The sequence below is a fragment of the Homo sapiens genome, chromosome 19 (genome assembly GCF_000001405.40).
Source record: "Homo sapiens chromosome 19, GRCh38.p14 Primary Assembly".
NCBI lineage: Eukaryota > Metazoa > Chordata > Mammalia > Primates > Hominidae > Homo > Homo sapiens.
Window position 1 is genome coordinate 684,370 of NC_000019.10, and position 27,875 is coordinate 712,244.

Consider the following 27,875-nt stretch of genomic DNA (forward strand, 5'->3'; position numbering starts at 1 on the left):
TGAGCCGAGATCGCACCACTGGACTCCAGCCTGGGTGACGGAGTGAGACTCTGTCTCAAAATAATAATAATAATAATAATAATAACAACAACAACAACAAAAAGGCCCAGCGCGGTGGCTCACCCGCGCCTGTAATCCCAGCACTTTAGGAGGCCAAGGCTAGCGGATCACGAGGTCAAGAGATCGAGACCATCCTGGCCAACATGGTGAAACCCCATCTCTACTAAAAATACAAAAAATTAGCCGGGTGTGGTGGTACATGCCTGTAGTCCCAGCTAGTTGGGAGGCTGAGGCAGGAGAATGGCTTGAACCCAGGGGCAGAGGTTGCAATGAGCCGAGATTGCGCCACTGCACTCCAGCCTGGTGACAGAGTGAGACGTCATCTTAAAAAAATAATAGGCCGGGCGCGGTGGCTCACGCCTGTAATCCCAGCACTCTGGGAGGCCGAGGTGGGTGGATCACGAGATCAGGAGATCGAGACCATCCTGGCTGACACGGTGAAACCCCGTTTCTACTAAAAATACAAAGAATTAGCCGGGTGTGGTGGCGGGCGCCTGTAGTCCCAGCTACTTGGGAGGCTGAAGCGGGAGAATGGTGTGAACCCGGGAGGCGGAACTTGCAGTGAGCCGAGATCGCACCACTGCACTCCAGCCTGGGGGACAGAGCGAGACTCCATCCAAAATAAAAATAAGTAAAGATAAAAAAATAAAATAATAATAAAGAAAATAAAATCTAAAAATAAAAAAATAATAACACAATAACAAACTGTGACAATAACATCACCTGGGACTTGCTGTGCACCCCGCGCTATTCTCTGGTTTTCAGAGGATGACCACGAGGCTTGATGTGTGGCCAGACCCTCTTGGGACTCCTCGGCGCGGCCGGTGCAAGCCCGCCCTGGTGTCCAGCAGCCCCCACGCCCTGCACAGGGAGCTCAGGGCTTCCTGGCCTCCGTTTCCCAGCGGACTCGCCTGCGGTGTGGTTAGGCGGCTGGAGGGAGGTGGAGGAACGGCATTCCAGGTGGGAGGCTGCAGGAGTGTGGGTTGCAGGGGCGCAGGGGTAGACCCAGAGGGGTTCACGGTGGGGGGCATGGGAAGGTGGAAAGGGGCTGCGGACCGAGCCGCGACACGAATGCCGGTGGACCCTGCAGCTGACCGCCCACGGGTGAGGCTGGAAGTCAGTTAACATTTTACTGGGTTTGCTTCTGCCCTTTGCATGTGGAATGGGTGTGCCCCACCGCTGCCCGTCCCACCCCAACCCTGAACATCAGGCTTCCCGTGGGGCCCAGCCACGGAACATTCCAGGCCTGGAGCGGCCATCTCATTTGCATGCCGCAAGGTTGTGGCTCAGGCGGCTTCTCCTGGGGGCCTGGTGGTCCCAGGCAGGGGGCCGGGCTGGGGACTGCTCCGCCGAACCACGTCCCAGATCCAGGCCACAAAGGCGGACACCTGCGTGTACACGTCGGGGGTCTTGGGGTCGCCGCACCAGAGGCCCGAGAAGGAAACGAGGCCGTGAGCCCGGTTCCTGCACACCAGGGGCCCTCCGGAGTCGGCCTGGAGTGAAAGGAGAGGTGAGGTCAGGGCCTCTGGGAGCTGCTGCAGGCACATCTCACCACGGCCCTCCCTGCCTCAGAACCCTCTGTGGCTCCCTACTGCTCTCCAAGGAAAAAGTAAATTCATTTCTCCCCTCCAGGCCCTGAGGACCCAGCCCCCACCCACTTCTCTGCCCTCCCCGCTGAGCCTCCTCAGTGCTCCACGGCCTTTGTATAGCCTGGAGACCTGTTCCTGCCCTGCGCTGGATGCTGCCTGTGTGAACATTCGAGTCTGCAGTGTTTTGGGCAGTGCACAACCTACACAGCTGTACGCGGCAGCCCTCTACTAACAGGTCTCTCTGCCTTGCGTGTGTTTCCTCAGATCTTCTAAGGATTCCTTCAAGTCTCAGCTCAAAGGTGCTCTCCTTGGAGAGGGCTCCCCGTATACTCACCCTAAAATCCCTCATCCTACCCTCCTGCCATCTAGAATCCGCTCTGATACCATCAACTGGATACTAATAGTGTAGCAGTTTTACAGATGGAGAAAAAGAGGCCCAGAGAAATCAAGTGACTTTTCCAAGGTCACGCATCGGGAAAGTGGACAGTCTCATTTCTCCTGGACTCGGGCTGCTGGGCTAAGTGTGTGTCCTGAACCAAGTCGCTCTCTTGCCTGCGGTAAAAGACCCTCCAGGGCCAGTGTCTCCCTTGGCACCTGGGGATTCGTTTATCTGGCAAGGTTTTAGGAGTGGGAGCTGCTTCCTCTCAATCTGTTACTACCCTCTACTGAATACTGCTTGTATAAATACACAAGTGCTTGGCTCTTTGTGCAGTGCGCAACCTGCACAGCTGAACATGGCAGCCCTGCATGACCCTTGCCAACTCCCTGCCTTCCCTGGGCCTCAGCTTCTCCGTCTGGTCCAACATCAATGGGACTCAGTTCCCAAGGCCCTTCCTGGCCCTGACCCTCTCTGTGGGCCTTGGTTTCCCCACACAGTAAGTGGGTGGAGCAGGGAGGGGATCTTACCGAGCAGAAGCCCCGTCTGTGGCTGTCCCCACTGCGGGTGCAGAGCATGGTAAGTGTCAGGTGGCCCTTCCAGGAGCTGTTGCAGACGTCCGGGTCCAGCACTCGGACCTTGGCCTCCATCAGTCCAGGCGGCAGCTCCTCAAAGTCAGACACGAAGCCCCAGCCAGCCACCCGGCACCGTGTCCCCGCTGTGGGGGGCCTGGCCCTTCTCCCTGGCGGCCTCAGCAGCCCCACTGCAGGGCCCAGGACAGCAGAGCCGTTCAGCTGCAGGGAGAGCATGAGTTCAGGCCACTGGGCTCCCTCCCCACCCCCGCTCCTGCCTCAGTTTATCCATGGGACCCCTGGTCCTGCCCTTGTGAAGCAAAATCAATGGCGGCCACCATGAGGCCGGGTCAGGAGGCCCCGTTCCTTCTGCCAACACAGGCCCCTACCCCTCAGGCCTCCAGGGTCACCGTCAGCTGCCCAAAGGGTCTTTCTGTTCTGTTCTTTTCTTTTTTTTGAGATGGAGTCTCGCTCTGTCGCCCAGGCTGGAGTGCAGTGGCACAATCTTGGCTCACTGCAACCTCCACCTGCCAGGTTCAACCGATTTCTCCTGCCTCAGCCTCCCAAGCAGCTGGGATTACAGGCGTGCACCACCACACCTGGCTAATTTTGGTATTTTAGTAGAGACGGGGTTTCACCCTGTTGGCCAGGCTGTTCTCAAACTCCTGACCTCAGGTGATCCACCCACCTCAGCCTCCCAAAGTGCTGGGATTACAGAGTGAGCCGCCGCGCCCAGCCTCAAAGAGTCTTTCAAACTCCATCTCCTTCCTTACTCTAAGCCCTCCCACGGCTCCCGATTGCCCTCAAGACAAAACCTCTTTGCTCACCAGCCAGGGCCTCTGAGGGCTCTCCAGCCTCAGCCTCCCCTTTGGCCAGGCAGGATGAATTTACAGCTACTCCCTGGGCCTGCCACACACCTCCCCTCACACCAGACCCCCAGCCTGAAACACTTTTCCTATTCAGCCATCTCAGCATGGATGCCACCTCTTCCAGGAAGTCTTCCCAGACTCCCAGGCTGGCACGTGAGTCTTCTCTGGGCTCCCTGCAGCCTGTTGAGGCCGGTTTACCCAGTGAAGACTGAGTGACACCCCGGGCTCTGTGTGGCCCAGCACCGGGCCTCTGGCCCTGGCCCTGGCAATTGGCACACAGCTGATGCTCAGTTAATGGGCCTGGGAAGGACGGCTCCAATCCCTGTCTCTGGTTCTCTGATTTGTGCGTCTTGGGTTCATTCCTGACATTCTTGATGTCTCGCTCAGCCTCAGTTTCCCCATCTGTGCGATGGCCTCTGGGTGAACCAGCGCTGGTTCCAGGCTTCAGGGTTTCACAGATGAGAAAAATTCACCCAAAAGCTTTGGCTACTGGCACTTGCTCCTCCTCCTTTTTTTTTTGTTTTTTTCAGAGTCTTGCTCTGTTGTCCAGGCTGGAATGCAGTGGCGCAATCTCGGCTCACGGCAACCTCCGCCTCCCGGGTTCAAGCGATTCTCCTGCCTCAGCCTCTGGAATTTAATTTTGGGATGCTGGGTAGAAGCGTCAGGGAAGGGGTCGTCCCTCGAGCAGGAGGGGGCCAGGCGGGTCTGCATGGATGCACCACGTGTGGGAGGAGCAGCTTCCCACCCGGAGGACTCCACCCAGGGACTTTTTTTTTTTTTTCAGATGGAGTCTCACTCTGTCACCCAGGCTGGAGTGCAGTGGCACGATCTCGGCTCACGGCAACCTCTGCCTCCCAGGTTCAAGTGATTCTCCTGCCTCAGCCTCCCGAGTAGCTGGGATGACTGGCACCCACCACCAGGCTCAGCTAATTTTTTTATTTTTAGTAGAGATGGGGTTTCACCACGTTGGCCAGTCTGGTTTCAAACTCCTGACCTCAAATGATCTACCCGCCTCGGCCTCCCAAAGTGCTGGGGTTACAGGTGTGAGCCACCACGCCCGGCCCCACACAGGGACTTTAAGCGTCTCCTCCACACAGGGCAGGGGCCCGAGAGGCACATTCATTCCATTTCAGCATAAACTTTGAGCGCCTGCTGTGTGCCATAAATGGCCATAAAGGTGATAAAAAATCCCTGCCCGTTAGGTTCAGAGGAAGCGGGAATGAGGAAGCGGGTGGTCCAGGGGTTAGCAGGTGACAAGCAGGTGACGACGGGGCCGGAAGGGTGGTCCAGGGGTTAGCAGGTGACGACGGTGCTAGAAGGGTGGTCCAGGGGTTAGCAGGTGACGACGGGGCTGGAAGGGTGGTCCACAGGTTAGCAGGTGACGACGGGGTGGTCCAGGGGTTAGCAGGAGATGACGGGGCCGGAAGGGTGGTCCAGGGGTTAGCAGGTGATGACGGGGCTGGAACAGGGTTGCAGGGAGGGGGTATGTGGTCCAGGGCGGCCTCCTGGGAAGGTAACATTTGAGCAAAGACTTGACAGGCGTGAGGGGAAAGGCTCGCGGTGTCTGGGGAACTGGTGCACTGGGTACAGCTGGTGCAGAGCTCGGAGCGGAGACTGTGCTGGGGATGGGATGGCCCATCCGGGAGGTCTGCTGGCCTCGAGTCAGAAAGGTGACAGGCATGGATTAGCAGGGCCTGTGGGCACCAGGAGGATTTGTCCTGCAGGAGGTGGGAGCCACTGGGGGGTCCAGGGCACAGGAGGAATGGGACCTGACGTCCAACTGTCTTTAAAACCTAAGTCAGGCCAGGCGCAGCAGCTCAGGTTTGTAATCCCAGCACTTTGCGGGGCTGAGGCAGGAGGATTGCCTGAGTCCAGGAGGTCAAGACCAGCCTGGGCAACATGGTGAAACCCCGTCTCTACTAAAAATATAAAAATTCGCCTGGCGCAGTGGTACACGCCCGTGATCCCGACACTTTGGGAGACCAAGGTGGGCGGATCACTTGAGGACCGGAGTTAAGACCAGCCTGGCCAACATGGTGAAATCCCATCTCTACTAAAAATACAAAAATTAGCCAGGTGTGGTGGTGGGTGCCTGTGATCCCAGCTACTCGGGAGGCCGAGGCAGGAGAATCGCTTGAACCCGGGAGATGGAGGTTGCAGTGAGCCCTGACTGTGCCACTTTACTCCAGCCCAGGTGCCAAAGTGAGACTCCGTCTCAAAAAATAGGCCAGGATTGGGAGGCAGAGGTGGGCGGATCACGAGGTCAAGAGATCGAGACCATCCTGGCAAACATGGTGAAACCCCATCTCTACTAAAAATACAAAAATTAGCCGGGCGTGGTGGCGGGCGCCTGTAATCCCAGCTACTCGGGGGGCTGAGGCAGGAGAATCGCTTGAACCTGGGAGGCAGAGGCTGCAGTGAGCCGAGATCGTGCTACTGCACTCCAGCCTGGGGACACAGGGAGATACTGTCTGAAAAAAAAAAAAATAGCCCAGGGCTGCTTCTCCTGGAAAACACTAAACGGCGGATGACGTCGGTGCAGTGGGGCGGCCCTGGGATGGGGAACGGCGCTGGCTTCCCCCGAGGCTTCGGCACTGGCTTCCGGGCTGGGGCCGCGGAGCTCACAGAGGCAAGACAGAGGATAAGGAGTAGACGCCTGTCACCAAGCTGGGCCGCCTGGTCAAGGACATAAAGATCATGTCCCTGGAGGAGATCTGTCTCTTCTCCCTGCCCATCAAGGAATCTGAGATCATTGACCTTTTCCTGAGGGCCTCTCTCCAGGACGAGGTTTTGGAGATTATGCCGGTGCAGAAGCAGATCCGCACCGGCCAGCGCACCAGGTTCGAGGCGTCTGTTCCCACCGGGGACTACAATGGCCACGTCGGTCTGGGTGTTGAGTGCTCCAAGGAGGTAGCCACTGCCATCATCGGGGCCGTCATCCTGGCCAAGCTCTCCGTTGTCCCCATGCACAGAGGCTACTGGGGGAACAAGATCGGCAAGCCCTACACCGTCCCTGGCAAGGTGACAGGCCGCTGCGGCTCTGCGCTGGTGTGCCTGATCCCCGTGTCCGGGGCGCTGGCATCGTCTGGGCGCCTGTGCTCAAGAAGCTGCTCATGATGGCTGGTATCGGTGACTGCTACACCTTAGCCAGGGGCTGCACTGCCACCCTGGGCCACTTTGCCAAGGCCGCCTCTGATATCCTCTCTAAGACCTACAGCTGCCTGACCCCTGACCTCTGTATTCCCCAAGTCTCTCTTTCAGGTATTCACTGGCCATCTTGTGAAGACTCACACCAGAGTCTCCGTGCAGACGCCCGGCTCCAGCTGTGGTTACAACATAGGGTTTTATACACGAAAAATAAAGTGAATTAAGCCTGGAAAAAAAAAATGGCCAGGCACGATGGCTCACGCCTGTAATCCCAACACTTTGGGAGGCTGAGGTGGGTGGATCACTGGGTCAGGAGTTCGAGACCAGCCTGGCCAACATAGTGAAACCCCATCTCTACTAAAAACACAAAAAACTAGCCAGGTCTGGTGGCGAGTGCCTGTAATCCCAGCTACTTGGGTGGCTGAGGCAGGAGAATCACTTGAGCCTGGGAGGCGGAGGTTACAGTGAGCCGAGATGGCGCCATTGCACTCCAGCCCCCGTGACAGTTCGAGACTCTGACTCAAAAAAAAAAAAAAAGAAAAGAAAAGAAAAGTAGGCCGGGCTCGGTGGCTCACGCTTGTAATCCCAGCCCTTTGGGAGGCCGAGGCAGGTGGATCATTTGAAGTCAGGAGCTTGAGACCAGCCTGGCCAACATGGTGAAACCCCGTCTCTACTAAAATACAAAAATTAGATGGGCTTGGTGGCGCGCACCTGTAATCCCATGTACTTGAGAGGCTGAGGCAGGAGAATCACTTGAACCCGGGAGGCTGAGGTTGCAGTGAGCCGAGATTGCGCCATTGCCCTCCAGCCCGAGCGACAGAGCGAGAGACTGTCTCAAAAACTAAACATACGTCAGATCCACCCCCGGGGCTCACCCGCAGCAGGCAGATGTCGTTGGCGTGGGTCATGGGGTGGTAGTCGGGGTGTGTGGTGAGAGCATCGATGCCAAACACCTGCTGGGTGGGCTCCGCAGTACTCAGGACGTGGGCGCCCAGCACCACCAGGCCAGTGCGGAGGTCTCTGCAGGGAGGAGGTGGTGGGTGAGACGGGGGTGAGGGCTGCCCGTCCTGGGCCTCGGTCCACTCATCTATGAAACGGAGGCCCAGGCCGGGCACGGTGGCTCACGCCTGTAATCCCAGCACTTTGGGAGGGTGAGGAGGGTGGATCACCTGAGGTCGGGAGTTCAAGACCAGCCTGATCAACATGGAGAAACCCCGTCTCTACTAAAAATACAAAATTAGCCAGGTGTGGTGGCACATGCCTGTCATCCCAGCTACTCGGGAGGCTGAGGCAGGAGAATTGCTTGAGCCTGGGAGGCGGAGGTTGCAGTGAGCTGAGATTGCACCATTGCACTCCAGCCTGAGCGACAGAACAAGACTCCGTCTCAAAAAAACAAAAAAAAAACAATTACTTTTGCATCAACTTAATATTCTTTTCCTTTTTTCTTTTTTTTTTTTTTTGAGACAGAGTCTCACTCTGTCCCCTAGGCTAGAGTGCAATCGAGGCTTACTGCAACCTCTGCCTCCTGGGTTCCAGTGATTCTCCTGCCTCAGCCCTCCAAGCAGCTAAGACTACAGGCGTGCGCCACCACTCCCAGCTAATTTTTGTATTTTCAGTAGAGACAGGGTTTCACCATGTTGGCCAGGCTGGTCTCGAACTCCTGACCTGAAGTGATCCACCTGCCTCGGCCTCCCAAAGTGCTGGGATTACAGGCGTGAGCCACGGTGCCCAGCCCCCAACTTAATATTATGATAATAAATTAATAATTATGTTTATTATTTTTCCTACCTCCAATATAGAATTAACTGCAATAGTTGTGGTATTAATTTGAATCATTATTATAAAAACATATTTAGAATGAAGATAATACTTATTATATTTATTATAAGTTCTATTTCAATTATAATATTAACTACAGTAATTTCAATATTCTCCTTTTTTTATTTCTTTAATTTTTTTTTTTGAGACGGAGTCTCGCTCTGTCACCCAGGCAAGATTGCAGTGGTGCAATCTTGGCTCTCTGCAAGCTCCACCTCCCGGGTTCACGCCATTCTCCTGCCTCAGCCTCCTGAATAGCTGGGACTACAGGCGCCCGCCACCATATCCGGCTAATTTTTTGTATTTTTTTTTAGTAGAGACAGGGTTTCACCGTGTTAGCCAGGACAGTCTCGATCTCCTGACCTCGTGATCCGCCTGCCTCGGCCTCCCAAAGTGCCGGGATTACAGGCGTGAGCCACCGCACCCGGCCTTTTTTTTTTTTTTTTTTTTGAGACAAGGTCTCACTCTGTCACCCAGGCCGCAGTGGTGTGATCACAGCTCACTGCAGCCTCGACCTCCCAGGCTCAAGCGATCCTCCCACAGCAGCCTTTCAAGTAGCTGGGACCACAGAAGCACAGCTCCGGTGCGGAGGACTCTGCGGGGAGGAGGGGGTGGGTGAGATGGGGGTGACGGCTGCCCGTCTGGGCCTCAGTCCACTCATCTATGAAATGGAGGCCCAGTAATCCATTTAATGCTCACGCCGGCCCCGTGATAATATTAGGTTGGTGCAAAAGTAATTGCACGAAAAAAATTAAATGGCAAAAACCACAATTAACTTTTTTTTTTCCGACAGAATCTCACTCTTTCCCCTAGGCTGGAGTGCAGTGGTGCCATCTCGGCTCACTGCCACCTCCACCTCCTGGGTTCAAGTGATTCTCCTACCTCAGCCTCCCGAGTAGCTGGGGATACGTACAGCCACTTGCTACCATGCCCAACTAATTTTCGTATTTTTTTTTTGAGACAGAGTCTCGCTCTGTCCCCCAGGCTGGAGTGCAGTGGCGCGATCTCGGCTCACTGAAAGCGCCGCCTCCCGGGTTCACGCCATTCTCCTGCCTCAGCCTCCTGGGTAGCTGGGACTACAGGCGCCTGCCACCACATCCGGCTAATTTTTTTGTATTTTTAGTAGAGATGGGGTTTCACTGTATTAGCCAGGATGGTCTCGATCTCCTGACCTCGTGATCCTCCTGCCTCGGCCTCCCAAAGTGCTGGGATTACAGGCATGAGCCACCGCACCCAGCCTAATTTTCGTATTTTTAGTAGAGACAGAGTTTCACCATGTTGGCCAGGCTGGTCTCATACTCCTGACCTCAAACAATCCACCGTGTCCCAACGTGAGGGGGACTGCAGGCTGGCGGGGGAGCTGGGGACACTGCAGCCCAGGACCAACCTATCCCGTGCCTGGTGGGGGCTCCTGCAGGAGGGGACCCACCCACCCTGGCCCCAATATACATTTTAATAGTTATTATAACAATATGTTTAAAACGAGGCAGGGCATGGCGGCTCACACCTGCAATCCCAGCACTTTGGGAGGCAGAGGCGGGTGGATCATTTGAAGTCAGGAGTTCGAGACCAGCCTGGCCAACATGGTGAAATCCAGTCTCTACTAAAAATGCAAAAATTAGCCAGGTGTGGTGGTGGGCGCCTGTGATCCCAGCTACTCGGGAAGCTGAGGCAGGAGAATCGCTTGAGCCCGGGAGGTGGAGGTTGCAGTGAGCCGAGATTGCACCGTTGCACTCCAGCCTGGGGAACCGAGACTGCCTCAAAAAAAAAAAAGAACATAGTGACAGTTACAGTAACAGAATATGTACTTGTTGCGCCTGTTGCTTCTTCTGTGCTTCTTTTGCCTCCCTGCCTTATCCTCCTGTTTTCCCTTTGTTGCCCTTTAAATCCAGCCCCTGCTGAGACTCCCCCTCCTGCAGGAGCCACGGCGCCCCCAGCTCCCCCACCAGCCTGGAGTCCCCCTCATGTCGGGATACGGTGTCCAGAAAGAAGGGGCCCGACAGGTGAGCTCACCTGTGGCTGAAGCAGTGGGCGGCCGAGACCACCCAGCGGGCTCGCAGCAGGAAGCCTCCGCAGTGATGTTGGCCCCCGAAGCGCACGGATGCCATGTAGGGCCTGGAGTGGGGGGTCACCTCGTGGCCCCCGATGATCTGGGCCCCCCAGGAGCCTGCTGGAGGGACGGCCTGAGTCAGGGACGAGGCGGGAGGAACGGATGACGGGGCTGGGGTCAGGGCAGGGGGAGAAGTAGCGGCCAAGACAGAGACAGGGGGTGAGATTAGAGACGGAGAGACCCAGAGAGCTGGAGACAGAGCCCAGACAAGCCCCCCAGATGCGCTGGGAGGGGCTCCCGAGCCCGGGAGATCCAGGGCTGGGCTGGGCAGAGACCCCGGCCGGATTTCCATCCATTTCCAGCAGAGGCAGCCACGGGGGCTCGGCAGATGGAGCAGGTGGAGCTCTCCCCAGGGTTCTCCCGGGACTGGGGGTTCCCGGGTGTGGCCCCCGTACGGGGACTTGGCGGGGGCCTGGGTGGGGATCCCGGGGGGCTCCTCACCGGGGGGCTTCACGGGCAGCATCAGGGCGGTGGCCACAGTCAGCAGAGGACGTCCCCAGCCCCTCAACCCGAGCCCCATGGCAGACGCAGGCTGGCGTCTCCCCGCAGAGGTCTTCGGGCCGTGGCTCCCACCCTCAGCCAACGGCCGGAAAGGGGGAGCCTGGCTGTGGCCTGTGGTCGGGAGGCCCCACCAGCAACGCCTGGAGCCCAGGCGGGCGTTTCTGAGAAATCGATGGTCTCAGGTGGTGGCTGGTAATAATCATGTTGATAATAATCATTGTCCCCTAGTCCGGAAACAGGGAGAGGAGGAGACAGCTCTGGGGCTGCAAGTGACCTCGGGAAGGCAATTGACCCTTCTGTGCCTCAGTTTACCCAGCCTCCACGTGGCCCAGCATGTGTGGGGAGCTTTCCGAGGAACCGAGGTCACAGCGGCACTCGAGACCCGCAGCTCGCCTCCGGCCCCCACCCCGCAAACCCCAGTCTTCCCATCTCCAAACCCAGGGCCGACCTCAGGGCTGTGGGGACAGCGAGGAAGGCCGGTCTCCTGGGAAGCTCTGATGATTTCTGCCTTTATTTTATTTTATTTTTATAGGTGGGGTTTTGCTATGTTGCCCAGGCTGGTCTCGAACTCCTGGGCTCCAGCGATCCTCCCTCCTCGGCCTTCCAAAGTGCTGAGATCACAGAAGACAGCCACTGCACCTGGCAGATTTCTGCCTTTATTCAGCAGTTATTGAGTGCCTAGTGTATACCAGACCTCATGCTAGGAGGTGAGGATGAGGCAGTGACCGCACCCCAGCCTGTAGCACTGACGTTCTGTGGGATCCGGAGTCCAGTGGGACATGGCTGTACATGGGGGTCTTCACCTTTTTTTTCTTTTCTTTTTTTTTTTGAGATGGAGTCTTGCTCTTGTTGCCCAGGCTAGAGTGGAATGGCACCATCTCGGCTCACCGCAACCTCTACCTCCCGGGTTCGAGTGATTCTCGTTCCTCAGCCTCCCGAGTAACTGGAACTACAGGCGCCCGCCACCACAGCCGGCTAATTTTGTTTCTGTATTTTTAGTAGAGACGGGGTTTCACCATATTAGCCAGGATGGTCTCGATCTCCTGACCTCATGATCCGCCCGCCTCGGCCTCCCAAAGTGCTGGGATTACAGGCATGAGCCACGGTGCCCGGCCTTTTTTTTTTTTTTTTTTTTTTTGAGAAGGAATCTTGCTCTTGTTGCCCAGGCTAGAGTGCAGTGGCGCGATCTTGGCTCACCGCAACCTCTGTCTCCTGAGTTCAAGGGATTCTCCTTCCTCAGCCTCCTGAGTAACTGGGATTACAGGTGCCCACCACCACGCCCCGCTAAATTTGTGTGTTTAGTAGAGACGGAGTTTCTCCATGTTGGTCAGGCTGGTCTCGAACTCCCGACCTCAGGTGATCCACCTGCCTCAGCCTCCCAAAGTGCTGGGATGACAGGCCTGAGCCACCGCGCCCAGCCCGGCAGGTCTTCACCTTTCAGTGGGAGCGTTCTTAGTGGCAAAGTTCAGGTCGTAAATTGCAGCTCACACAGCCGGGTGATGGCGTTCACGGCAGTGGCTAGCAGTGGGGTGCTCGTCAGCGCTTAATAATGAACAGGCTGGGGCCGGGTGCAGTGGCTCACGCCTATAATCCTAGCACTTTGGGAGGCCGAGGCAGGTGGATCACCTGAGGTCAGGAGTTCAAGACCAGCCTGGCCAACATAGTGAAACCCCGTCTCTACTTAAAGTACCAAAATTAGTCAGGCGTGGTGGCAGGTGCCTGTAATCCCAGCTACTTGGGAGGCTGAGGCAGGAGAATCGCTTGAACCGGGAGGTGGAGGTGGCAGTGAGCCAAGATTGCACCATTGCACTCCAGCCTGGGTGACAGAGCGAGACACCATCTCAAAAAAAAAAAAAAAAAAAAAGTCATCATTGAACGCTCCAGACCTGTGTTTTACCAAATGTAAAGTGTTCTCAATAAAGAATGAAGTGAAATGAAGCAACAGGAAATGCGTGGAAAGGAAGGTATGAAAAGGCCCCACAACGAACTCGGGCTCTGCGAGATGCGGGCGGCCTCTGGAAGCTAAAAAACGGCAGGAAACGAATTTTCTCCTGGAGCCTCCGGGAAAAGCCAGCCCTACCGATGCCCTGACGTTAGCCCAGAAGGGCCTGCAGGGGCTTCTGACCTCCAGCACTGCCAGAGAATAAATTGGTGCCATTTCGTTTATTATTATTATTATTATATTTTCTTGAGATGGAGTCTCGCTCTTTCGCCTAGGCCAGACTGCAGTGGTGCGATCTCGGCTCACTGCAAGCTCCGCCTCCTGGGTTCATGCCATTCTCCTTCCTCAGCCTCCCAAGTAGCTGGGACTACAGGTGCCCGCCACCACGCCCGGCTGATATTTTGTATTTTTAGTAGAGATGGGGTTTCACCACGTTAGCCAGGATGGTCTCAATCTCCTGACCTCGTGATCTGCCTGCCTCAGCCTTTCAAAGTGCTGGGATTACAGGTGTGAGCCACCGCGCCCAGCCTCATTTATTATGTATATATTTATTTTGAGACAGGGAGACAGGGTCTTGCTCTGCCGCCCACGCTGGAGTGCAGCAGTGCAATCAAAGCTCACTGCAGCCTCGACCTCCTAGGCTCAAGCCATCCTCCCACCTCAGCCTCCCAAGTAGCTGGGACCACAGGCACCTGCCACCACCAGGCCCGGCTCATTATTTCATTTTTTGTGGAGACGGGGTTTTGCCATGTTGCCCAGGCTGGTCTTGAACTCCTGGCCTCGAGCAATCCTCCAGCCTCGGCTTCCCGGAGTGCTGGGATTACAGGTGTGAGCCACCATGTCTGGCCCAAGTTGGTATCATTTTAAACCACTACGTTTCTGGGAATTCGTTACAGCAGCTGCAGGAAAGATTTTGGGAAATGGAAAGCTGTTTCCAGGGCCTGGGGACAGGTGGGACCCCAGCTCAGGGTCCGTGTACTTGGGGACCATTTCCTGCTCTGCTGTGGTCTACTGGACCGTCTGGCATCGCTGTGACCGCATGGGCCGTGCTCCATCAATATTGTTTTTTTGTGTGTGGGTGTTTTTTTTTTTTTTTTTAGATGGAGTCTCGATCTGTCGCCAGGCTGGAGTGCAGTGGCGTGATCTCAGCTCACTGCAACCTCAGTGTCCCGGGTTCAAGCGATTCTCCTGCCTCAGCCTCCCCAGTAGCTGGGACTACAGGCGTCTGCCCCCACGCCCGGCCAATTTTTTGTATTTTTAGTGGAGATGGGGTTTCACCATGTTGGCCAGGCTGGTCTTGAACTCCTGACCTCGTGATCCGCCCGCCTTGGCCTCCGAAAATGCTGGGATTACAGGCATGAGCCACTGCGCCCGGCCCTGTTTTTATCTTTTAGAGACAGGGTCTCCTTCTGTCGCCCAGGCTGGAGTGCAGTGGTTTGATCTCGGCTCACTGCATCCTCTGCCTCCTGAGTTCAAGCGATCCTACTGCCTTAGCCTCCCAAGTAGGTGGGATTACAGGTGCCTGCCACCACGCCCGGCTAATTTTTGTGTTTTTTTGTTTTGTTTTGTTTTATTTGTTTGGTAGAGATGGGTTTTGCCATATTGCCCAGGCTGGTCTCAAACTCCTGAGCTCAAGTGATCGGCCTGCCTCGGCCTCCCAAAGTGCTGGGATTACAGGCGTGAGCCATCGCACCCGGCTGTCCGTCAATATTGTCAAACGACTGGACAGCAGGCACTCTGGTCTCCACGGTCGTCGCGTCAGCACGAGTGGGTCCCCTGGACTTGCTCCTACCTCCCCTGCTGCCCTCCGTCGCGGAGCACTGAGGCAGAGACCTGGAAAACGTCCCCAGCTCCACGGGCGTTAGAAGGAGAATTGCCCGAAGCTGCAGGCGTGTGGAACTTTGTTCCCTCACGATGCTGTCCCTGTCCCGGTCGCTGATGGGGACACAGTAGGGAGAGGGTAAGCGCCTTAGCCCTGCCACACAGTGAGGAGCCAGGGGGCCGGGGCTGCTGCCTCAGAGGAGCTCCCACTGCCTCTCGGGACCGATTCTATCCAGAGCTGGGCCATTTCCTTCCCTTTTGGTGAACAGTTGTGAAATAAACAACCGTCCTCCAGCGTCTCAGAAAACCGAGCTCCTGGCAGCCCTGAGGAGGGGGCTGAGTGGGGGTCACTGTTCCCACTTCCCAAACTGAGGCCCAGAGAGGGGAGCCGATTTGTCTGGGGCCACACAGCACAGGGTCTTGACCCATGAGCCGCTGGACTGCGATTCTCCTGGAGGGTCTCTCCATGGCAGATCTGAGCGGCTCTTCAGGAGCTCAGACACCAGCCACTGCAGGGAGTCAACAGCAATGGTGACAACAGCTTCCTTTATTGTATTTAATTTTACATTTTTATTTTATTTATTTTGTTTTTTTGAGACGGAGTCTCGCTCTGTCACCCAGGCTGCAGTGCAGTGGCACCATCTCAGCTCACTGCAAGCTCTGCCTCCCGGGTTCAAGTGATTCTCCTGTCTCAGCCTCCCGAGTAGCTGGGATTACAGGCGCCCACCACCACGCCCAGCTAATTTTTTGTATTTTTAGTAGAGATGGGGTTTCACCATGTTGGCCAGGCTGGTCTTGAACTTCTGATGGCAGGTGATCCACCCGCCTGGGCCTCCCAAAGTGATGGGATGACAGGCGTGAGCCACCGCGCCCGGCCCCTCCCCTGCGAAAAATTGTTTTTCAAGACGAGATGTTGCCTGGTGGCTGAGACTGCAATCACAGCTCACTGCAGCCTCTGCCTCCTGGCTCCGCCTTCCCTGTAGCTGGGACCACAGGCTCACAAAACCACCAGGGTAATTAAAAAAAAAAAAAAAGCTAGACACGGTGGCTCACGCCTGTCATCCCAGCACTTTGGGAGGCTGAGGCGGATGGATCACGAGGTCAGGAGATCGAGACCATCCTGGCTAACACGGTGAAACCCCATCTCTACTAAAAATACAAAAAATTAGCCGGGCACGGTGGCGGGCGTCTGTAGTCCCAGCTACTCGGGAGGCTGAGGCAGGAGAATGGCGAGAACCCGGGAGGCGGAGCTTGCAGTGAGCCGAGATCGCGCCACTGCACTCCAGCCTGGGCGACAGAGTGAGACTCCGTCTCAAGAAAAAAAAAAAAAGTTTTTTTGTAGAGATGGGGTCTCACTATGCCGCCCAGGCTGGCCTCAAACTGACCTCGACTGATCCTCCCACCTTGGCTTCCCAAAGTGCTGGTGTAATAGGCATGAGCCACTGAGCCTGGCCTCACTTTATTTTTATTTTTTTGAGACAGATGCTTTGTCACCCAGGCTGGAGTACAGTGGTGTGATCTCTGCTTACTGCAACCTCTGCCTCCCAGGTTGAAGCGATTCTCCTACCTCAGCCTCCCAAGTAGGTGGGACTACAGGTGTGTGCCACCACACCTGGCTAATTTGTTTTGTATTTTTAGTACGGACAGGATTTCACTGTGTTAGCCAGGATCGTCTCGATCTCCTGACCTTGTGATCTACCTGCCTCGGCCTCCCAAAGTGCTGGGATTACAGGCATGAGCTTCTGTGCCCAGCCTCACTTTATTTTTTAACCCCAATAAATGTATATCCACAGGACATTGCTTCTTCTTTTTTTTTTTTTTTTTTGTTGTTGTTGTTGAGAGGGAGTCTCGCTCTGTCACCCACGCTGGAGAGCAGTGGCGCGATCTTGGCTCTCAGCAACCTTTTCCTCCTGAGTTCAAGAGATTCTCCTACCTCAGTCTCCCAGGTAGCTGGGATTACAGGCATGCGCCACCACGCCCAGCTAATTTTTTTTTTTTTTTTGAGATGGAGTTTCGCTCTTGTTGCCCAGGCTGGAGTGCAGTGGTATGATCTCAGCTCACTGCAAACTCTGCCTCTCGGGTTCAAGCGATTCTCCTGCCTCAGCCTCCTGAGTGGCTGGAATTACAGGCGCCCACCACCACCCCCAGCTAATTTTGTATTTTTAGTAGAGATGGGGTTTCGCCATGTTGGTCAGGCTGGTCTTGAACTCCCAACCTCAGGTGATCTGCCTGCCTTGGCCTCTCAAAGTGCTAGGATTACAGGCGTTGCCAACGCGCCTGATCTTTTTTTGTATTTTTAGCAGAGACAGGTTTTGCCCTGTTAGCCAGGCTGCTCTCGAACTCCTGACCTCAGAGGATCCACCCGCCTCAGCCTCCCAGAATGTTAGGATTACAGGCGTGAGTCCCCGTGCCCGGACCTGCTTCCTATTTCTTGAAATGGAAGATAGCTGCCTTAAGAATACACATTGCACTGGCTGGACGCAGTGGCTTGCGCCTGTAATCCCAGCACTTTGGGAGACTGAGGCAGGCGGATCCCCTGAGGTCAAGAGTTCCAGACCAGCCTGGCTAACATGGCAAAACCCCATCTCTACTAAAAATACAAAACTTAGCTGGGTGCGGTGGTGTGTGCCTGTAATCCCAGCTACTCGGGAGGCTGAGGCAGGAGGATCACTTGAACCTGGGAGGAGGAGGTTACAGTGAGCCAAGATTGCACCGTTGCACTCCAGCCTGGGCGACAGAGTGAGACTCCATCTCAAAAAAAAAAAAAAAAAAAAAAAGAATACACATAGCACAACCCAACACTACCTGCCTTCCAGCCAGACTGGAGAGGGCTGGCTTGGCCGCTACTGGGGGTCCCTGAGCTGTCCAAAGGCCCTGCTCCCCGGAGCTCTCTGGCCTCAGTTTTCCCATCTAGGGAATGGGTTGCCCTGGGGCAATGCCGAGAGTGCTGATGAGAATTCAGCAAGGTTGGCTGGGCACAGTGGCTCACGCCTGTAATCCCAGGACTTTGGGAAGTTGAGGCAGGCGGGTCACCTGGGGTCAGGAGTTCGAGACCAGCCTGGCCAACATGGTGAAACCCCGTCTCTACTAAAAATGCAAAAATTAGCTGGGGGTGGTGGCGGGCACCTGTAATTCCAGCTACCCGGAAGGCTGAGGCAGGAGAACTGTTTGAACCCAGGAGATGCAGGTTGCAGTGAGCTGAGATCGCGCCACTGCACTCCAGCCTGGGTGACAAGAACGAGACTCCGTTGGAAAAAAAAAAAAACAGCAAGGTACTGGATGCGGCATGCTGGTGGGGACTGGGGCCCTGGCGCCCCTTGTAAAGCGCCTGTTTGCCCATCCGTAAGCTGGATCCTGCCCCGTCCTTCCCATGGAAGCCATCACAGTCAGAGAAGAGGGTAGAAGACAGGAAACCATCCATTCATTCACTCAACTCATTCCGTGAGCATTTATTGAGCACCTACTGTGTACAGACAGTGTTGTGGGCCTTGGGGACTCAGCAGTGAAGAAGACAGGCAAGTTCCTGCCCTTGTGGGGCTGACATTCAGCAGAGAGGCAGGAAGGAAACGCTGAACACAACATGTAAATGACATTGTCTGTCAGAAGAATTTAGTGGGAAAGAGAGTGTGGACAGACAAGAGGAATAGCAAACGCCAGGCACGGTGGCTCACGCCTGTAATCCCAGCACTTTGGGAGGTCGAGGCAGGTGAATCACCTAAGGTCAGGAGCTCCAGACCAGTCTGGCCAACACGGTGAAACCTCGTCTCTACTAAAAATACAAAAATTAGCCAGGCATGATGGTGGGCACCTGTAATCCCAGCTACTCAGGAGGCTAAGGTGGAAGGATGGCTTGAACCCAGGAGGTGGAGGTTGCAGTGAGCTGAGGTTGCGCCATTGCCCTCCAGCCTGGGCAACAGAGCAAGACTCTGTCTCAAAAAAAAAAAATTAGCCACGTGTGGTGGTGCACACCTGTAGTCCCAGATACTCAGGAGGCTGAGGTGGGAGGATTACCTGATGGGGGAGGTCGAGGCTGCAGTGAGCCAAGATCACATCACTGCACTCCAGCCTGGGTGGCAGAGTGAGACCCTATCTTATTCAAAAAAATAAAAACAACAAGGGTACCGAGGGCACCCAGTGACAATGGGGAAGCTGGGGAAGTTCTCCCAGAGGAACACACAAGGCGTCTAACAGCAGGTGTCTGGATGGCTGAAGCCCAAGCTGGTTGTGGGGCAAGGAGAGGTGAGCAGGGAAGAGACAGGATTGTCTGGGCTCAGCTTTGCCTTGTGGGGCTGCAGGGCACTGGGGAACCATAGATGGTGTTTGAGCTGGGGCAGGCCAGGGCATATTTCTCTGGTGAAAGAGTGGAGTAGGGAGAGGAGGTGGGGAGACCCGGAGGCGACATGGCTCAGGGTTGGGGTGGGGGCCATAAGGCCTCAGCTAAAGTCATGGCTGGGGAGAGGCGAGGGGGGTCTCTGACTCAGGGACAGGGGAGGAGTGAGGTTTTGGGACCCACCTATAGCTTCCGGTCGTCCAAGGCTCCAGAGGGTGGCCAGATCTGCAAGGAGTGGTGGGGCGTGCTGGGCGGAGCCCCGGGGTAGAGCTCTACGGAAGTAGGAAGGGCAGGGGCGCCCTCAGGGAAACCTCACTCCTCCCCTGTCCCTGAGTCCAGGAAGGGGTCAGGCCAACGTCGCTCTGGAAGCCTGGAGGCGGGGCCGAGGTGCAGGGGCGGGGCCGACATTGCCTGGGAGGCGGGGCTGAGGTGCAGGGGCGGGGCCTACATTGCCTGGGAGGCGGGGCTGAGGTTCAGGGGCGGGGCCGACATTGCCTGGGAGGCGAGGCCGAGGCACAGGGGGCGGGGCCAATGTGCAGGGGCGGGGCCGACATTGCCTGGGATGCAGGGAGGTGGGGCCGATGTCGGGGGCGGGGCCATGGTGCAGGGGGCGGGGTCGGGGCGGGGCCGAGATGGCCTAGGCTGCTGGGAGGCGGGACTAGGGTGCAGGGTGCGAGGCTAGCGGGGTGATGCGGGGGCCGAGATTGCCCAGGAGGCGGGTCCGAGGTTCAGGGGGCGGGGCTAGGGCGCAGGGGGCGGGGCCGACATTGCTTCGGAAGCTGGGAGTGGGGACCGAGGTGCAGGAGGCAGAGCCTCAGTGCAGTGACTGCTCCCCACAGGACGCGGATGGGCGCTGCAGTGCCTGTGGGTGGGTGAGCGCAGTGAGGCGGTGGAAGTGAGGGTGTGAAGGGCAACTCGAGGCAGCTTCTCTCCGGTCCACTACACACCCCACCTTGTCCCACCTCCACACCTTTGCCAGGCCGTTCCGGCCACCTGGAACGTCTCCCTCCACCGTTTGCCCGGCCCATTTCCCCGGTTCAAGTGGCATCACCTCCAGGCCTGTGTGTGCTGGAGTCGGGAGGTGTGGGCGGCGCGAGTTTTTCGTGCAGGGCCTTGAGAGTGGCAGGAGGACTTTAGCTTTTGCTCGGAGGGAGGTGTGAGTCCTGGAGGTTTAGAGCTGGGGCGGTGGGAGAAATGATCCCAGCAGTCCCTTACCCTCCCCACGGCCTCCTCACTTCCTCCTATTTTTACACAAAATGCCTCCACCACCCTTCAAACCCTGAATCTTTTATTTTATTTTATTTTTGAGATAGGGTCTGGCTCTGTCACCCAGGCTGGAGTGCAGTGGTGTCTTCACAGCTCACCGTAGCCTCGATCTCCTGGGTCCAACTGATCCTCCTACCTCAGCCTGTGAGTAACTGGAACTACAGATGCATGATACCTCACCTAGCTAATTTTTTAAAAAAAAATTTGTAGGCTGTGTGCGGTGGCTCACACCTGTAATCCCAGCACTTTGGGAGGCCGAGGCAGGCGGATCAAGAGGTCAGGAGATCGAGACCATCCTGGCTAACACGGTGAAACCCCATCTCTACTAAAAATACAAAAAATAAGCCGGGCGTGGTGTCAGGAGCCTGTAGTCCCAGCTACTCGGGAGGCTGAGACAGGAGAATGGCGTGAACCTGGGAGGTGGAAATTGCAGTGAGCCGAGATCACCCCACTGCACTCCAGCCTGGGCGACAGAGTGAGACTCTGTCTCAAAAAGAAAAATTACATTTAAAAATGTATATATGGCTAATGACTGCTGTACCGAACAAACCAGTCCCCAAAAGCAAATGAAATAACAGCTGCCACCAAGTACCACGGTCACACCTAAAAACCAATTAACACCTCGACAGCTCCTCACGCAGGTTCCGTTTACTCGGGAGTAGGAGCCGGCCACCCGATGCAGGGTCACTATGACCCCCCAAGCCCGTGCCTCGCCCTGTCTCTTCTTCCTCCTTATAATTAAAATCTTGAAGGACCCCGATGGCAGCCTGTCCCACCGCCCTGCCTGGGTCTGGCCCCTGCAGCTTGTGATGCTTCTCAGACCCATTCCCAGCCCTCCGGGGAGTCACAGAGGGGTGAGATCAGACAGAGGTTTGAATCCGGGGGTGGCCTTTCCTTGGATGGAGCAGTATTTAAAAAAAAAATTGGGCCAGGTGCGGTGGCTCATGCCTGTAATCCCAGCACTTTGGGAGGCCCAGCTACTCGGGAGGCTGAGGCAGGAGAATGGCATGAACCCGGGAGGCAGAGCTTGCAGTGAGCCGAGATCGCACCATTGCACTCCAGCCTGGGTGACAGCGAGACTCCGTCTCAAAAAAAAAAAAAAATTTGTAGAGATGGGGTCTTTCTGTGTTGCCCAGACTGGTCTCAAACTCCTGGGCTCAAGTGATCCTCCCTTCTCAGCCTCCCAAAGTGCTGGGATTACAGGTGTGAGCCACTGTGTCTGGCCCTGAATCATTTATTTTATTTTGAGCCAGGTTCTGGCTCTGTTGCCCAGGCTGGAGTGCAGTGGCATGATCACGGCTCACTGTAGCCTCAACCTCCCAGGCTCATGCGATCCTCCCACCTTAGCCTCCCAAGTAACTGGGACCACAGGCACACACCACCGTGCCCAGCTAATTTTTATTTTTTATTTTTTATTTTTTTTGAGATGGAGTTTCGCTCTTGTTGCCCAGGCTGGAGTGCAATTGTGCGATCTCGGCCCACTGCAACCTCCGCCTTCCAGGTTCAAGTGATTCTCCTGCCTCAGCCTCTGGAGTAGCTGGGATTACAGGCATGCACCACCACGCCCGCCTAATTTTGTATTTTTAGTAGAGACGGGGTTTCTCCATGTTGCTCAGGCTGATCTCGAACTCCAGAGCTCAGGTGATCTGCCCACCTCAGCCTCCCAAAGTGCTGGGATTACAGGCGTGAGTCACTGTGCCCGGCCCAATTTTTAATTTTTTGTAGAAATGGAAGTCTCACTAGGTAGCCCAGGGTCTTCACCTCCTGGATTCAAGTGATCCTCCTGCTTCAGTCTCCTGAAGTGTTGGGATTACATGTAACAGTCACTTCATTCACCCTGAATCATTTATGTAGGGGACAAAAATCACCGTCTCTCCAAGGACAGAACTTCTTTTTTGTTTTGTTTTGTTTTGTTTTGTTGAGATGGAGTCTTGTTCTGTCACCCAGGCTGGAGTGCAGTGGCGCGATCTCTGCTCACTGCAACTTCTGCCTCCCGGGTTCCAGCCATTCTCCTGCCTCAGCCTCCCCAGTAGCTGGGATTACAGGCGCGCACCACCATGCCCAGCTAAGTTTTGTATTTTTAGTAGAGAAGGAGTTTCACTGGCCGAGCGTGGTGGCTCACACCTGTAATCCCAGCTACTAGGGAGGCTGAGGCAGGAGAATTGCTTGAACCTGGTAGACGGAGGTTGCAGTGAGCCGAGATCGCGCCATTGCACTCCAGCCTGGGCAACAAGAGCGAAACTCCGTCCACCCCAGCCAAAAAAAGAAGTGGTTTTGCCATGTTGGCCAGGCTGGTCTCTAACTTTTGACCTCATGATCCACCAGCCTCAGCCTCCCAAAGTGCTGGGATTACAGGCGTGAGCCACCGCGCCCGGCCTGGTCTCAAACTTTTGACCTCGTGATCCACCAGCCTCAGCCTCCCAAAGTGCTGGGATTATAGGCGTGAGCCACGGCGCCTGGCCGCAAAAATGGAACTTCTGCATCACAGGTGACTAACGGTGCCAGGCACACAGTAGGTGTTCAATAAATCACTTTGGACTAAAAGAACACAGAGGCCAAGGGGAAGTGAAGAAACGACTCACAGGTCAGTTTTATTGGGTGCCTAGTGCAGGGGTCAGTACACTACGGCCCTCGGATCAGCTCTGGCCCTCTGCCTGTTTTTGTAAATAAAGTTTTATTGGGTGCCTAGTGCAGGGGTCAGTACACTACGGCCCTGGGATAAGCTCTGGCCCACTGCCTGTTTTTGTAAATAAAGTTTTATGGGCACAGAGCCATGCCCATGGTTTTACATATTGTCTCTGGCTACTTTCACTCTGCGATGGCAGAGCAGAGTCATTGCCGCAGAGACTGTGGCCTGCAATGCTGAAAATATTTACTCTCTGGCCCTTTACAGAAAAAGTTTGCCAAACCCTGAGCTAGTGTGTGCTGGGCCCTGTGCCAAGCCCTTTGTGTGTGCTCACTCAGTTAACCCTCCCACAGCCTTAAGGGTGGGGGCAGGGGGGTGGGGGGGAATAAGGCTCCGAGAGGTTGAGAAACAGACCCAGGGTCACACAGCTTGGAGATGGGTGAGCTGGGAATCAGACAGACCCGGGACCCCTGATATTCTTTAGGATCTTAGCTTTGTTAACCTTTGCTAATTTATCTTATTGTCTTAAATGCTAAAATGAATACACATTCATTGTAAAAAGGGAGGAATAAAGAAAAGGTGTTGACGGCCTTCTTCAGCCTGGGGTACATCCTGCCGTATCTTTCTCCACAGCTCATCCGGGGCTACTTTCCTTTAAATCTACAGCCATTCAGCAAACATCGGCAGAGGAGAACCGTTTTATAAGAAAACTAAGAAGTTTGGAAGAATCTTTCCTTCCTGCCCACCCTGGACCCCCATGAGTAGGTGTGCTGGGGCTGGTCTGCAGTGTTCTCACGGGAAACCAGGAAGCTGGGCCCAAGGCCTACATGTTGGGGAAGACAGGTCCTGCCTGTCTCCTGCTGTGGCTCCCCAGTGCTCTGAGGACAAAGCCTGAGCTCTCCCTGATTCTCCACCGTCCCTCTCACTCACTCTGGTCGTCTGGTCGCTGGGCCTTTAGTGAGTGTGCCATGGGGGCCCTGGGGCCGATTAAATTCCAGCCCCGGGGACCAGGCTCAGCTCCCAGCCAGGGCACAGACAGATCAGCACCTGCGGTTGTCTCCACCCCAACCCCCGGCCTTTGCAGGCACAGCGCCCTCCACCAGATACTCCGGCAAAGGAGGCCTGGGGACCCTGCGAGCGGGGCCGGGGGTGCAGGGAGCTGTCAGCTCCTCGCAGCGGCCTCCCCAGGACCCCCCTATCCCCTCGCTCGCCCTGAAATGTGTGTCCCTCTCGGCGTCTGGGCTCTCGAGAAAGGCCTTTGCTTGTCTGACTTCGCGAGGGTCCCGGCTCTGGCCCAGGAGCTGGGGAGGGGCGGGACTTGGTGACAGCCGGGTCCCAGCACCGCGCCCAGACCTAGGCCCTTCTCAGGGGTGCCCCGGGGCGGGGCGCGCGGGGCGGGGGGCGGCGGCGGCGCAGCCGGCAGGAGGCGCAGCGCCCGCTCGCAGCGCGGGGAGGTGGGAGGGGAGCGGGGCGGGGAGCGGGGCGGGCGGGAGGGAGAGGGGAGCGCGCCGGAGACGCGCGCGCCCAGCCCACCCCCCGCGCCCGCCGCCGCCCGGACAATAAACAGCAGCTTTGCGCGGGGCGATGCCCGAGCCGGTGCCGCCGCCCCCGCGCCGCGCAGCCCCGGCCGCCAGGCCTTAGCCCGCCCCGGCCCCCGCCAGGCCGCGTCCCCCTCCCCTCCCCTCCCCCGCGCGCCACCCGCGCCCGCCCCCGCCCGGCACCGCGGACCCACCCGGACCTCGGCGGGGAGATGGAGTGAGTAGGCGCGCTCGGGCCGCGGGGCTGGGGGCCCGGAGCTCCGGGAGCCGGGGAGGGGGGAGGCCCCCTCTCTCGCGCCCCATTGGGGGCGTCGCTGCCCCCGCGAGGAGCAGGAGGCGGCGCGGGGCTGCTGGGGCCGCAGCGCAGCCGGGAAGAGACTCGGGCTGGGCCGCGCCTGCCGGGAGGCCTCCCCGCTCCCGGACCCCGGCTGCCCACCCACCGGCGCGTGGGGACCCGGGCAGCGGCGGCTCGGGCCAGTCCAGGACGCGGGGAGGGGGAGGCTCGCGTCTCCGCCCGCGCCCCGCCCGCGTCTCCAGGGCGAGCCTCGGCTCTCGGCCACCTGTGGGTGGCCCCGGGGAGATGGAGCGACCCCTCCCCAGATTGCACCGGTCCGGCCTCGCGCTCACGCACCCTTCCCCCGCCCCAGTCTGAGCGCACGGCTCCTGGCGCCCTGGACGCGCGCGCGGGCCGGTGCCCCCCACCCCCGCCCTTCCCAAGGGCCTCCAGGGGTGTCCTGAGCCCCCCGCCACTGCGCAGGTCCCGAGTTACCGCTGGAGGGAGAGGGGCTGCCCTCGGCTTCCCGGGTCTCTGGGGTGTGTGAGAAGGGAGAGGAACCGGCGTTTTCCAGCGGGGCGCCTGGGTGGGATACCCTCTCGGGGAAGTGTCTCGGAGCTGGGGCTCCACTGGTGTAGCTACAGGAGTGGGCTGGCCCTGGGCTGGGATCCCTGGACCCCCGCATGGCTGCGCCTGTGTGTGTGGGGGGGGGGTGGCCAGTGGAGGCACCGAGCGAGGGCGCGTGGTCATTTCGGACACCGGTCCCCTCCTCCCGGTGCTCGGGTGCCCCTCTGCCCCTCACTCCCACAGGTGGGCACTGCACGGGCAGGGGTCAGGAGGCTCCTCCTGGGGTCACCCACCTGCCCACTTCAGGACAGGGGAGCCAGCTGCCCTGCTGAGGCCCGGGTCCCCACCCCAGCCCGAGGACCGAAGACCGGATCTGGAGGCCGCCTGTGGCCCCCTGCCCTTCCCACTGGGCGTGTTTTCTAAGCCGCCAACTTTCCCCGGGGATTCACCCGTGACCCGCCACGCCCGCGGCTGGGTGGGGGCCGCTGCCTCCCTCCCTCCCTGGGAAAGCGAGACACCCAGTGTCCTCTGCTTTTGAAAACCCAGACAAAGGCCTGACCCCTCTCCCCGTCACCCCGCCCCGGGAGCTCAGCCAGGGGCTCAGGGGAGCCAGGGCCCAGACTTGCCTGCTCCACACCCCCACCCCCCAGCCTTGTTTATCTGCCCTGCTCGCCAGGCCCCGGAGGAGCCTCTGGGCCTCTGACAGCCAGGCCTGGGCAGGGTGTGGCTGTGGGGAGGGGGCTGCCTAGGAGGACGACGGAGATCTCCCTCCCAGAGGAGGGGTGTCAGCGAACACTCCGGGTCGGGCCCATTGTTTCCTTCCTGCCACCCCTTCCTTTCCCACGGGGGATACTGAGGCCCAGAGAGGAGCTGCTGCCCCCCCCCCACCCCCCCTCCATCACACAGCACCTGGGGCCGGGGGGCCTCGGTGCCTCCTGCTCTGCTCCACGGTTTCTCCGTCCTGGGTCAGAGGGTGGCCCACAGGTCCCCCATTGGGTCATCATTGCTTTTGGGGATGCAGACATGGGACAGGCACCCAGTGTTAACCGGCTGCTGTGAGCCGCCATTCGAGGACGACTCTCTCCCCGGTTCCCGGGCTGACAATGGGTGGGGACAGGCCCATCTGGTGCCGCCCGGCCTTGGACACCTGCCCCCTCGTTCTTCTCCCCGGCGGGCTTCAGGCACGAAGGCCCCGTCCGCTAGAACGTGATCGCTTGCCTCCTCCCGTTTCCACAGATTTTCCAGTCGAAGACACGGGAGCTGGCTGTGGTTTGTGGTGGTGCCCGTCTCGCTGGAAAGTTTCACAAATGAATTTAAGAATTTAAAGAATTTTAAATGTCATTCAAGAACAGGTTATTTTTTGTTAATGTGAGGATTTAAGGAGAACTAGCGGGTTGCTAACCACAGGGCCGATGCTGCCAAGGTGAGGAGAACGTCCAGGAAGGAGCTGGGGAGAATCTCTGCTTCGGAGAGAATCTCTGTGCTCTGGGAGGGTTTGTGTGGCCCCTGCGTGACACATGGTCTGGCTGGTAAAATAAAGATATTTTGGCCTGGAGCAGCCATTCTCCAGCACCCACAGCCCTGTCCTGGGTACAGGCAAGGCTCAAACCCCCGGGATAGGGAGGAGAACAGACTTGGGCCTGGACAGATGGTCAAGACCGGCCCAGACTCCTCCCTGCTCGCAGACCTGGAAATTTTCAATAGGAAAGTCTCCGTTGGGTGCTAACTGGGTCCTTAACGCTCCTTCACACTTGCTAATCCCCCTTTTTAATGAGAGGCAGAGCCTGTTAAAAGGCAACAGTACCTAGTGATAATTGAATTTAATAACAAGCTTTTACTTCCGTTGTATCTGTTTCTTCCTCCATGTTTCCGCTGTCTTGTTTGTGGCGGTGGCTTCTGGTTTGCCCAGTGTTGATCACAATATAATGTTTCTTTCTAAAACAAGGCGATTTGATTTACACTGGAGTGGTTTTGAAGGCAAGGAATAGACAGATACTGTCCAGGAGGTGGCGGAACATGGGAAGGTGGTTTCTTTCTTTTTTCCATGTTGCCCAGGCCAGTCTCGAACTCCTGGGCTCAAGCGACTTCCCTGCCTCAGCCTCCCAAGTAGCTGGGACGACAGCATTGCATGGGAAGGTGGTTTGAGAAGTGCAGGCGTAATTTATTCACTCGGCAACCATTAAGTGGGTACCTGCCTTTTCCACGGCCCTGTTTTGAGTGCTCTGTATGTGTGTGAATTCCTCTGATGCTTTTTTTTTTCTTTTGGAGACAGAGTATCTCTCTGTTGTCCACACTGGAGTGCAGTGCTGCGATCTCCACTCACTGCAACCTCCGCCTCCCGGGTTCAAGCAATTCTCCTACCTCAGCCTCCTGAGTAGCTATGACTACAGGTGCCCGCCACCACGCCCGGCTAATTTTTGTATTTTTAGTAGCGACAGGGTTTCACCAGGTTGCCCAGGCTGGTCTTGA

At 57.0% G+C, this 27,875-nt stretch overlaps 2 protein-coding genes and 1 pseudogene across 6 annotated transcripts in view, besides 5 other annotated features; 2 read left to right on the plus strand and 1 right to left on the minus strand.

Annotated features, from left to right (window-relative positions):
* On the minus strand, positions 1,177-11,083 carry PRSS57 (serine protease 57). Of its 2 annotated transcripts, none has more exons than NM_001308209.2 (5): positions 10,983-11,083; positions 10,445-10,598; positions 7,489-7,633; positions 2,556-2,819; positions 1,177-1,553 (listed from the first exon to the last, which is right to left on the minus strand). In NM_001308209.2, exons 1-5 carry the CDS (start codon positions 11,059-11,061, stop codon positions 1,347-1,349), a joined length of 849 nt encoding a protein of 282 aa, NP_001295138.2. In that variant the 5' UTR covers positions 11,062-11,083; the 3' UTR covers positions 1,177-1,346. The 2 variants fall into 2 exon arrangements, with proteins under 2 accessions (NP_001295138.2, NP_999875.2); NM_214710.5 differs by having other exon boundaries at positions 10,445-10,601.
* RPS2P52 (ribosomal protein S2 pseudogene 52) lies at positions 6,073-6,842 on the plus strand (annotated as a pseudogene).
* Positions 19,336-19,655: a silencer, noted in NCBI's record as "silent region_9619". NCBI's record gives its function as "represses an Ori minimal core promoter by ATAC-STARR-seq in GM12878 lymphoblastoid cells {active_cell/tissue: GM12878}" and the evidence as "EXISTENCE:reporter gene assay evidence [ECO:0000049][PMID:35858748]".
* Positions 19,728-20,698: an enhancer, noted in NCBI's record as "H3K4me1 hESC enhancer chr19:704097-705067 (GRCh37/hg19 assembly coordinates)". NCBI's record gives its function as "activates a minimal SCP1, AML or CMV promoter by ChIP-STARR-seq in naive H9 embryonic stem cells {active_cell/tissue: H9 hESC(naive)}" and the evidence as "EXISTENCE:reporter gene assay evidence [ECO:0000049][PMID:30033119]".
* Positions 19,756-19,855: a silencer, noted in NCBI's record as "silent region_9620". NCBI's record gives its function as "represses an Ori minimal core promoter by ATAC-STARR-seq in GM12878 lymphoblastoid cells {active_cell/tissue: GM12878}" and the evidence as "EXISTENCE:reporter gene assay evidence [ECO:0000049][PMID:35858748]".
* Positions 23,563-24,123: an enhancer, noted in NCBI's record as "H3K27ac-H3K4me1 hESC enhancer chr19:707932-708492 (GRCh37/hg19 assembly coordinates)". NCBI's record gives its function as "activates a minimal SCP1, AML or CMV promoter by ChIP-STARR-seq in naive H9 embryonic stem cells {active_cell/tissue: H9 hESC(naive)}" and the evidence as "EXISTENCE:reporter gene assay evidence [ECO:0000049][PMID:30033119]".
* Positions 23,576-23,812: a silencer, noted in NCBI's record as "fragment chr19:707945-708181 (GRCh37/hg19 assembly coordinates)". NCBI's record gives its function as "represses an EF-1alpha promoter that drives an FKBP-Casp9 reporter gene in an ReSE screen in phorbol 12-myristate 13-acetate-treated (for megakaryocytic differentiation) K562 erythroleukemia cells {active_cell/tissue: K562(+PMA)}" and the evidence as "EXISTENCE:reporter gene assay evidence [ECO:0000049][PMID:32094911]".
* Positions 24,566-27,875, plus strand: part of PALM (paralemmin) — a 39,395-nt gene continuing 36,085 nt past the window's right edge. For 2 of the 4 annotated variants that reach the window (NM_002579.3, NM_001040134.2), the window contains exon 1: positions 24,566-24,782. In NM_002579.3, coding sequence (NP_002570.2) covers positions 24,778-24,782 — 5 coding nt within the window. In that variant the 5' untranslated portion in view covers positions 24,566-24,777. Of the gene's footprint in view, positions 24,783-26,592; positions 26,830-27,875 lie in introns of those variants that run through there. The other 2 variants (XM_017026850.3, XM_005259565.5) reach the window with 2 other exon arrangements.

Coding starts and splice junctions, on each gene's coding strand:
- PRSS57 (NM_214710.5), bottom strand. CDS start 11,061: ATGGGGCTCGGGTTGAGGGGCTGGGGACGTCCTCTGCTGACTGTGGCC. Junction 10,602..10,982: donor GCTGCCCGTGAAGCCCCCCG/GTGAGGAGCCCC, acceptor CCGTCCCTCCAG/CAGGCTCCTGGGGGGCCCAG. Junction 7,634..10,444: donor GCCCACTGCTTCAGCCACAG/GTGAGCTCACCT, acceptor TCCTCCCTGCAG/AGACCTCCGCACTGGCCTGG.